The sequence below is a fragment of the Homo sapiens genome, chromosome 20 (genome assembly GCF_000001405.40).
Source record: "Homo sapiens chromosome 20, GRCh38.p14 Primary Assembly".
NCBI lineage: Eukaryota > Metazoa > Chordata > Mammalia > Primates > Hominidae > Homo > Homo sapiens.
Window position 1 is genome coordinate 55074326 of NC_000020.11, and position 11354 is coordinate 55085679.

An 11354-nucleotide genomic window follows, 5' to 3' on the forward strand; every position below is an offset into this window, starting at 1 on the left:
AATCAGGTGTGGCAGGACTTTGGCAAATGACAGAAGAGTCATTAAACATGAGGTGGGAGACTCCAGACACTCCAAAACCACAGTGAAGACTGAATCATACTCTCTCTCAGTGCAGTGGGATGCACGTGCTTGTTGTAGAGAAACTGTGACATGACACCAAGAGGCACAGGTGGAGATAGTGAAGTTCCTTTCCAAGCAGCAAAACCTCTTTCTGTGAAACAGGGGGTTAGCTTTCGGCTTTGGGCTCGGAGGAGGCCAAGGTGCGACTTTCTTCGGTCGTCCCGAATCCGGGTTCATCCGACACCAGCCGCCTCCACCATGCCGCCGAAGTTCGACCCCAACGAGATCAAAGTCGTATACCTGAGGTGCACCGGAGGTGAAGTCGGTGCCACTTCTGCCCTGGCCCCCAAGATCGGCCCCCTGTGTCTGTCTCCAAAAAAGGTTGGTGATGACATTGCCAAGGCAACGGTGACTGGAAGGGCCTGAGGATTACAGTGAAACTGACCATTCAGAACAGACAGGCCCAGATTGAGGTGGTGCCTTCTGCCTCTGCCCTGATCATCAAAGCCCTCAAGGAACCACCAAGAGACAGAAAGAAACAGAAAAACATTAAACACAGTGGGAATATCACTTTTGATGAGATCGTCAACATTGCTCGACAGATGCGGCACCGATCCTTAGCCAGAGAACTCTCTGGAACCATTAAAGAGATCCTGGGGACTGCCCAGTCTGTGGGCTGTAATGTTGATGGCCGCCACCCTCATGACATCATAGATGACATCAACAGTGGTGCTGTGGAATGCCCAGCCAGTTAAGCACAAAGGAAAATATTTCAGTAAAGGATCATTTGACACACACACACACACACACACACACACACACACACACACACACACACACACACAAGAAACAGGTTAACATTGGATGTCTCTCATCATGGAGGAATGGCCTCTTGGACCCCAGTTTTTCATAGGCATAAGAGTTTATCAGCTGTTCTAAAAGTACAGGCTTTATCATTATGCCTCTCACTAGCTTGGCTGGAGGCTGATTTTCTTTTTAGGCAATTATGCCACTTGAAATATGGAGTTTATATATTGGTGGGAGTCCTGGCATGGAGGAGATATTCTGAACTCAAGTACTTCTCCTAGTACTCCTGATTATAAATGTAATACATATTTGCTAGATCCAGTTTGAAATAGTGAAAAGTAAATATCACCTGTAATTCCATCCCTGATAATATAGTCAATCATAATATACATATATCCATCTATTGACATTTTTCTCTAATTATTATGATTATTAAATTAGGCTTATGATGTAACTGCCACTTTAAAACCTGCTTTACTCAATTTATAATGTAACCTGAATGTAGATGAGCCATCCTGCACTCATCTTTAAGCCTGATTTAGTATTGTATTGCATCTGCCACACAATTGCATACATGCTAATACACAAACACGCTTCACTTCAAATACATGAACCAGTGATGCAAATCTTTACTGAACATTCTCTGGAATATAAAAGAACATGTTTTTTATTATTATTATTATTATACTTTAAGTTTTAGGGTACATGTGCACATTGTGCAGGTTACATATGTATACATATGCCATGCTGGTGCACTGCACCCACTAACTCGTCATCTAGCATTAGGTATATCTCCCAATGCTATCCCTCCCCCCACCCCACAACAGTCCCCAGAGTGTGATATTCCCCTTCCTGTGTCCATGTGATCTCATTGTTCAGTTCCCATCTATGAGTGAGAATATGCGGTGTTTGGTTTTTTGTTCTTGTGATAGTTTACTGAGAATGATGTTTTCCAATTTCATCCATGTCCCTACAAAGGACATGAACTCATCATTTTTTATGGCTGCATAGTATTCCATGGTGTATATGTGCCACATTTTCTTAATCCAGTCTATCATTGTTGGACGTTTGGGTTGGTTCCAAGTCTTTGCTATTGTGAATAATGCCGCAATAAACATACGTGTGCATGTGTCTTTATAGCAGCATGATTTATAGTCCTTTGGGTATATACCCAGTAATGGGATGGCTGGGTCAAATGGTATTTCCAGTTCTAGATCCCTGAGGAATCGCCACACTGACTTCCACAATGGTTGAACTAGTTTACAGTCCCACCAACAGTGTAAAAGTGTTCCTATTTCTCCACATCCTCTCCAGCACCTGTTGTTTCCTGACTTTTTAATGATCGCCATTCTAACTGGTGTGAAATGGGATCTAATTAAACTAAAGAGCTTCTGCACAGCAAAAGAAACTACCATCAGAGTGAACAGGCAACCTACAAAACGGGAGAAAATTTTCACAACCTACTCATCTGACAAACGGCTAATATCCAGAATCTACAATGAACTCAAACAAATTTACAAGAAAAAAACAAACAGCCCCATCAAAAAGTGGGCAAAGGACATGAACAGACACTTCTCAAAAGAAGACATTTATGCAGCCAAAAAACACATGAAAAAATGCTTATCATCACTGGCCATCAGAGAAATGCAAATCAAAACCACAATGAGATACCATCTCACACCAGTTAGAATGGCGATCATTAAAAGAACATGTTTTATTGCATTTATCACAAAACTTAATGGTAAGCATTTTAGATCATTTTTTGTTCCTCTAACAAAAAGCAGTTACTCCTGATAAATTTTTTATCTTTGTTTTCTCCTTGCCTTTAGCTCTTTTATTTTTCTCTTGCTTCTCTCCCTTTCCTCTAACTTCTTTCTACCTTATGAATATATAACAGAAGTTACAGACCTCCTTAGGTTTGCCAAATCCTCAGAATTAAGGAAAATAACTGAAAAAATGTATTATATAAAACATGGACTTTAAATTTATATAGCTTTCCTGTAAAACTTTAATTATTGCTTTTCTTCCTTTGTGCTCTACTCTCTCCATCTTGAGTTCATATTATATATTTCTTAAAATTCTTGCTTTTCACATTGAATATCATCAATTTCCTCATTTCAATCTCTTCTTCTTTGCATTATGGGATATCTTTTTGAGCTCGGTTATTTTATTTTGATATTAATTTGTTTAGTATTTAATCTTATTTTCTTGACTCCAGTTGGCTTTTTGAAAAGAAACTTTTAAATTTTCAAATAGATGCAGATTTGTGAAAAATTAGATAGTACATAAAGTTTCTATGTGTCCCTTATCTAATTTCTACTAGTATTAAGATCTTAAATTAGTATCATACATTTGTCATAATTGATGAATCAATATTGATACATTATTATTAACTAAAGATTACAGCTTATTGAGATCCTGACTTGTTACCTAATGCCCCATCCCAAGATTCTATCTAAAATACTACATGTAAATACTACAGGTATTCATTTATCTCCTTAAGCTCCTCTTGGTTGAGACAGTTTCTCAGTCTTTCTTTGTTTTTAATGACCTTGACAGTTTTGAGGTATACTGGTCTGCTATTTGTTAGAATGTCCCTCAATTATAATTTGCTTGATAATTGTTCTCACGACTGGACTAGGGCTACTGGTTATAGAGAGGAAGACCACAAAGGTAAAACATCATTCTCATCACATCATCTCATGGGTAGATACTACCAACATGATTCATTACAGTTGAGGTTAAGCTTGATCACCTTGCTGAGGTGGTGTTTGTCAGCTTTCACCACCGCCAAGTCATTCTTTCTCTCCCCCTGTTCATACCTTACTCTTTGGGAGAAAGTTGCTATGAACAGACTACACTATGGAGTGAGGAATTATGCTCCACTACCTTGAAAGTGAAGAATTATAAATCATTTGTAATTCTTCTGCATAGGAGATTTTACCTTTTCTCACCTGTTTTTATTTATTTTATTTTCTCCCCTATTTATGTTAAATCATTTATTTCTGTATGAATTCATGGATATTATTTTATGCTTTGAGTTATAATTCAGTCCTACTTTATTTTGTTGCTCAAATTTTTTCAGCTTTGTCCATTGAGAGTATTTTTAGCCGATCTCTGTGTCTTCTTGACAGACCCCCACAAATGTGGTTTCTTTTCCTTTCTGTTAATTTTTTAGGCATTTATTTACGCATTGGAACTACAGAATGCTCCAGGCTCATCTTGTGTATTTCCTGTCTGAGTTCTAGAATCATCTACTTCCCCATGAAACCCTATTTTTTTTATTATTGTTAAAGAATCATATTAGAAACCAAAGAATGGATGCTAACAGTCTGTTATTACTGAAGTGCCATTGTTTTTAGACCCTCTCAGCTAACAGAGCAAAAAATATGTACATGTATATGTGCTAACTTGTGTATATACACAGACCTATAAACAGTTCTATATGTAACTATCTATATCTATATTAAGCTAAACCTAAGTTTATCCTGATTTCTCCAATTCTAATCCATTACTTCACAGATCATTCTAGCCTTCTTCCCTTACTTATCTGAAATCTCTCTCTCCAACTGTGAGAAAACTGGTCCTTAACATCTGCTGTCCATTTGTATAATTGTCCATTGCCAAGATACCTATATAGCAGTTTCAGAATTGTTCACCTGTAAAACAACATTATCAACAAGAGTACAGTCCTTATGTACAGGTTGTTTCACCTTTAGTCTTACAGACTCTCTTCTTATTCACACTAAAACTGATAGTGTCTATTTGCAGTTCATTTCCTGTGTAATACTATATGCATGTATATATATGTATACATATATACTATATACACAAACATATGTATACACACACACATATATATGCTCAATTCAGGCATGGCTACAGATCTAGTAGATTAGGTCTTCTTATGTGTGAACTGATCTTTCAGTGGTATCAACTGATGACGTGGGTTTTCCCCTATATTTAAATGCATTGTTCTTTTAATGGATATCTGCAAGCATCAATGCATGTGTGCAAAAATGCATGTGTGCTCACATTTATGCTTGCAGATGTTAAAAACTGTGGTAGGTAGATTTCTTCATGGTCCTTTGTTCCTTAGTATTACTCTGGTGATTATCTTATATATTATATAATGAAAGAAATTTCAAAAGTGTGATTAATTAGTTTAGTTTAACATATGGATATTTCTCGATGCAGGATCAGTCTAATCACATAAATCCTATATGTGGTTAAATTAGTGGACGTCTCTCAAAAGCAGGTCAGTGTAGTGGCTAACAGCCATGGTCTTGAGTCAGCTGCCTGGGTTGAAGGCCCAGTTCTGCCACTTACCAACTTTATGGCCTTTGCAGGTTTAATTTAACCTGTGTGTAAAATGGGATTGATAATAACACCTTCCTCATAGGACTGCTATGAAGATTCAAGAGTTAGTGTATGGAAAGAGTTTATAACAGAGGCTGGGACCCTTTAGCTACTCACTAAATATTAGATATTATTTTCTGTAGCTGACAGCAAAAAAGAAATTCAAAGAGTTTAAAAACATTAGAAGGATTCAGTAGAAGGGGGATTTTCCAGGGCCAAGACAGAGGATGCCAGGGGACAAGCACTGGAAAGTAGCCACTAAGCACTGAGAGTGGGCTGGGCACCATGGCTCATGCTTGTAATCTCAGTACTTTGGGAGGCCGAAGCAGGTAAATCACAAAGTCAGGAGTTCCAGACCAGCCTGGCCAACATGGTGAAACCCCCCTCTACTAAAACTACAAAAATTAGCCAGGCATGGTGGTGGGTGCCTGTAATCCCAACTACTTGGGAAGCTGAGGCAGGAGAATTGCTTGAACTCGGGAGGTGGAAGTTACAGTGAGTCGAGATCTCACTACTGCACTCCAGCCTGGGTGAGAGAGCAAGACTCTGTCTCGAAAGAAAAAGAACTGAGAATGGACTGTGGCTAACAACCAGCAAAAAATGGAGACCTCAGTCCTGTGACCAAACGGAACTGAATTCTGCCAATAACCCAACTGAACTTGGAAGCAGATTCTCCCCCAGAGCCTTCAGAAAAGTACTCAACTCTGCTGATACCTTGATTTTGGCCTTGGGATACCCTAAACAGAGAGATCCTCAAGGCTGGCTAGACTTCTGATCTATAGAAATGTGAGATAATACATGGGTATTGTCTCAAACCACTAAACTTATTGTAATGTTTACACAGCAATAGAAAACTAATTCAGATATATTTTTTAAATCATCATTTCACCTAGATAAATTTTGTTATCTTTGCATAGTTTAATCATGCTTATTCTGTTTAGTAAACTGATCCTTTTTTTTATTATTATACTTAAAGTTTTAGGGTACATGTGCACCAAAGTGTTTTTGAAAAAGTGAGGTCCCATTTCCCACACTAATTACTGGGTATAGTTGCCTAGCTTAACTTTCCATCAGCTTTCCACTTTTCGAAACTATTTTTGCAATAGCATTAATTATTTTTGGGCCAAAGTTCACTATTAAATGTCATTGGAATGATTTCTGGTGATAAGAACTGACAGAGGTGTTGCTTGTTTGTAAAATTCTCATGTCTTTTGAAATTCAATCTCACATCCCGCTCATTCTACAACCATAGCTTTAGGTTTTACATTTTTCTCTCAGTAGTTAAACTTTCATTGTTCATTTGAGTCGCGATTTGCTCATTTTTGATAAGTGTGTCTTTGGGTTCTGCTTCTGGTCTTGTCAGTTATTACATACAGGTGCCAAAATAAGGGGTCATGACATGCTTGCCTTTCAGTGTAACACTGTTTTGGTTTTATTGAACCAAAGGTTTCCTAAAAAGTTTTATAGAAGGAAAGTTTAGCAGTTGGATTGCTAGCACAAAGAGGGAATAAAATTGTGGTCCATAGATGTGTTACTCAAAAACATCTCATTTCAATTTCGTGTTCAGAGAATCTTAAAGTAAGGCAAGATGCAAAAGATCAAAATAATAACTTTAATTATTGACTAGTTGCATATCACAGGTAAATTATTTATCCTCTCTATGATTTAGTTTTTACATCTACAAAATGACATACCCATTCATTAGTTTCCTTGAAATCTAGTGCTGCTTAAATTTTTCCTTAAAGTAGTCGTTCTTAAAGTGTGATCTCTGGACCAGCGGCAGCCTTACCTGGGAAGTTAGAAATGCAAGTGGTCCCACTACAGACTTCATAAATCAGAAACTCTGGAGGTACAGCCTAGGAATCTATGCTTAACAAGACCTTCCAGATGATTCCATGGGAAAGTTTGACAACCACTGCCATAGCAGAGACTAACAATGTCTTAGCATTGGGCCTTGCATATGCTTAATGAAAAGCAGTTGACTTAGGTAATCGTGTATGAAAAGAAGAAGGATTATATGAATAATAGAAATTAGCTGGGGATGCTAGCACATAGCTCAAAGGGGTTCTTTGAAACATGTAATTTTGAAAGCTCCATGAGAGGTTGTTTTGCACCTTTCCTTGTTTTAATATAGAAATACTTCTAAAGTTACTTTAAAAATTAAAAAAATGGGTTTCTGTTTTAATACTAAATAAAATTAAGGAAAATGAAAGTTCCAGGGAGAAACATGATGCTCCTACAGCTTTGAAGATCCCTTAGCCCATCTCTGGTTACTCTCAGGGTAACTTGCATTTGAGATTCATGGGTCTAACCAGTGTGGCTAGTGGAATCCTGTTGGGACTGACCAAATCTGGTTTCTCTTCTGGGTGCATTACGTTGTTCATTTCCTATGTGTCTGATAGGTTGGTTTCCTTTTAGAGCCTTCATTGGTCATCATGAACAGTGATGTCGATGTTTCTGTGGGATTTTTTAGGAAGAGCTAAACATTGCTGCAACTCCCCTTCTCTGTTGAAGTCTGCAGCATCACTGTGGAAAGCAGCATTCTGCTACACTGCTGGCCACATTTTCTCTGTTGTCTCTGTTAAATGGAGGGGCAAAGAAGACCCTTTGGTGCAAAGAGTCTCTCTTTCTTACAAACTAAAAACTGATAGTGCCTATTTGCAGTTCATTTCCTGTGTAATACTACATACAAACACACACACACACACACCCCTATATATACATATATGTAATACTATATATAGAATTTTATATATATAAAATTCTACATATGTAGAATTTTATATATATAAAATTCTACATATGTAGAATTTTTATATATAGAATTTTCTATATCTATAAAATTTCACATTTTTTAATGTGTGAAAAGATAGAAATTTATATACCTATATATGTAGTATTCCATATATGTGAGTGTATATACCCATGTGTATACCCATGTATATATAGGTATTTAGATATATATACCTACATAAACATATATATGATACTGTATATGTTATACATATATATGTATTATCTCTACATATACATATATAGTATTGTAAGTATTGTATATATACCTACATATACACATATAATACTACATATATGTATATATGTAATACTATATATGTATATAATATTTAGTGCTGTATATGTATAGGTATGTATGTATATGTAATACTATATATAGGCATATATACATATATGTATATATGTATATGTATGTGTAAATATGTGTATATACATATATAGATATATATATGTACCTACATATACATAATGCATACGTACAACAAAAAATGAGTAAACAAATCAATATAAATTTAAATGTGGATAATTCCTATAACAAAAAATAAAGTAAAATAAGTATTAAAGAGAGATTGGGTGGAAGGGCTACCATATAGGGGCTGGATAGGAAAGGGCCTTCTGTTAAGGTAGCATTTAATCAAAGAGCTAAATGAAGAACCTAAACAAAGCAGAATTTAGGGAAAAAGTTAGTGTCTAAATATAGTCTAGGCCAGGTGTGGTGGCTCACTCCTGTAATCCCAGCACTTTGGGAGGCTGAGGCGGGCAGATCACCTGAGGTCAGGAGTTTGAGACCAACCTGGGCAACATGGCAAAACCCCGTCTCTACTAAAAATACAAAAATTAGCCGGGCGTGGTGGCATGTGCCTGTAATCCCAGCTACTTGGGAGGCTGAGACAGGAGAATCCCCTGAACCCAGGAAGCGGAGCTTGCAGCGAGCCGAGATTGCACCATTGCACTCCAGCCTGGGTGACAGAGTGTGACTCTGTCTCAAAAAAAAAAAAAAAAAAATAATAAAGCAAAAATAAAATAAAGTCTAAATGTAGTGTCTAAATATGTGAATAAATTTCTATTCACATATTAAAAAATGTATTCAATAAGTTGTAATCCAAAAGTAGAGTCTGTAAAAACAATCAAATGTGGTATTTCAGAAAAGACTGAAAGTAGAGTTTTAGTTGAAAAAAATAATTCTATTGTACTTTTCAAGGAAAGAAAAGAGTTTTCAATGAAACATACTCAGATATTGGCAATGGTAGCACCAAGACAAGAAAGTTTCCTAAACATCTACAGATTTAAACGATTGATTTGTTATTATAGCCTGTCTAGGCAAGTAGCTTTGCTCCAGATTTTTTATGGGAGACTGAATCTGCAGCATAGATGACCTTGTTTCAAGGTTGATTATGGTCTCTTAATGACTCTTTAGGTCTTTTTTAAAGTTCCCAGAGCTTATGAATGTCATTATACTAGGTGATGTTGTTAGTTGGGAATTATTTGGAAGTACTGTTCATAGTGCAAGTCATTACTGAATCTATCAAATGAGACAGGACGTGTATCTTTTCTCTCTCTTTTTTTTTTTTTTTTTTTTTTGAGACGGAGTCTCGCTCTGTCGCCCAGGCTGGAGTGCAGTGGCGCAATCTCGGCTCACTGCAAGCTCCGCCTCCCGGGTTCACGCCATTCTCCTGCCTCAGCCTCCCAAGTAGCTGGGACTACAGGCGCCCGCCACTACGCCCGGCTAATTTTTTGTATTTTTAGTAGAGACGGGGTTTCACCGTTTTGGCCGGGATGGTCTCGATCTCCTGACCTCGTGATCTGCCCGCCTCGGCCTCCCAAAGTGCTGGGATTACAGGCGTGAGCCACCGCGCCCGGCCCTCTCTTTTTTTTTTTGAGACGGAGTCTCGCTCTGTCGCCCAGGCTGGAGTGCAGTGGCAAGATCTCAGTTCACTGCAAGCTCCACCTCCCAGGTTCACACCATTCTCCTGCCTCAGCCTCCTGAGTAGCTGGGACTACAGGCATCCGCCACCACGCCCGGCTAATTTTTTGTATTTTTAGTAGACACGGGGTTTCGCCGTGTTAGCCAGGGTGGCGTGTTTCTTTATTCTTCTCGTTTTTGTTTTTGTTTTTGTTTTTTGTTTTTTTCCTTGTTTGGCTATGACTTAACTGTAGGTTGTCTTGTTAATGTCTCGTTTCAGTTTCAGGGATAGTTACTAATTGACAGAGATAAGTGGGGTGGTAGGATAATGGTGGATATAAGCAGTTATTAGGTATCCAAGCCATACTTGCAAAATATACTAAAATGGGGTGGACATTTCTCAGCCATCTGGTGTAGTGATGGAGTTGCTTGCCACTCCTTTCAGGCTACTCAGGGCAAGGGAAACAGATTAAACAGGTTCTTCTTGAATAGTAAAAAAGTAAACATGGTGAGCAGTGCTTTTAATGAAGATAAGTCTATATAATTATATTTGGAAAGACCCAAATTATAATCACAAAAGATGGGAATGTGGCAGATTTCATAAGTTCTGTTTCCAAATTCTAGCTCAAATATTTAATAACTTTCTGATAATAGCAAAATCACTTCTAATCTTTTAGTACCCACATTTCTTCATCTGAACAATGGGAACAATAATAATAACTACTTTGGGAAGTCATAGTGATGATTAAATAAGTGACAATATGCAGAGTATTTAGAATAACACATCACATATGAATGTTATGTAAGTTGAATTAGTTATCTATTACTGTATAGCAAATTATCTCAAAACTCAGTGGCTTTAAACAACTATATATATACATACACATGATTATATACTACATAAGGATATTGTGTGTGTACATATGTGTGTATATATATATGACTAGTCATGTACATGTATTTATTGTATATATATATCTGATGTGTGTGTGTGTGTGTGTGTGTGTGTGTGTGTGAATCTGTGATTAGTTGACTGGGGCTGAAGGATTGTCTTTCAATAGGGCTCACACACATGACTGGCAAGTTGGTGATAGCAATTGTCAGGAGGCCCCTTAGCAGTTCCTAATAATAGTCCAGTTCAGTGTATAGAATCTGAAGGAAACCAAGATGAGGCTGGAGAGGTAGATGTGGGTCAAATCCCTAAGAGTATGGTGAGCCATGCTAAATAGTTCAGAGTCTTATTCCAAGGGCAATGGGAAACTATTGAGGAGATTTTACCTTGAAGATGAAGGTCAGATTTGCTTTTTAGTAAAAGTCATTTTGGAGTCTACTGCTATGTAGAACAGACTAAAAGGCCTGGGCAATACTGATGCTTTGGAATGGAGAGAGAGGTAAGTAGTAGGCTCAACAAACCTCAGTGATTGATATT

The 11354-nt window shown here is 37.5% G+C and overlaps 1 pseudogene, besides 1 other annotated feature; it reads left to right on the forward strand.

Annotated features, from left to right (window-relative positions):
• Nucleotides 231-853, forward strand: RPL12P4 (ribosomal protein L12 pseudogene 4; annotated as a pseudogene).
• Nucleotides 9709-10209: an enhancer, noted in NCBI's record as "H3K4me1 hESC enhancer chr20:53700573-53701073 (GRCh37/hg19 assembly coordinates)". NCBI's record gives its function as "activates a minimal SCP1, AML or CMV promoter by ChIP-STARR-seq in naive H9 embryonic stem cells {active_cell/tissue: H9 hESC(naive)}" and the evidence as "EXISTENCE:reporter gene assay evidence [ECO:0000049][PMID:30033119]".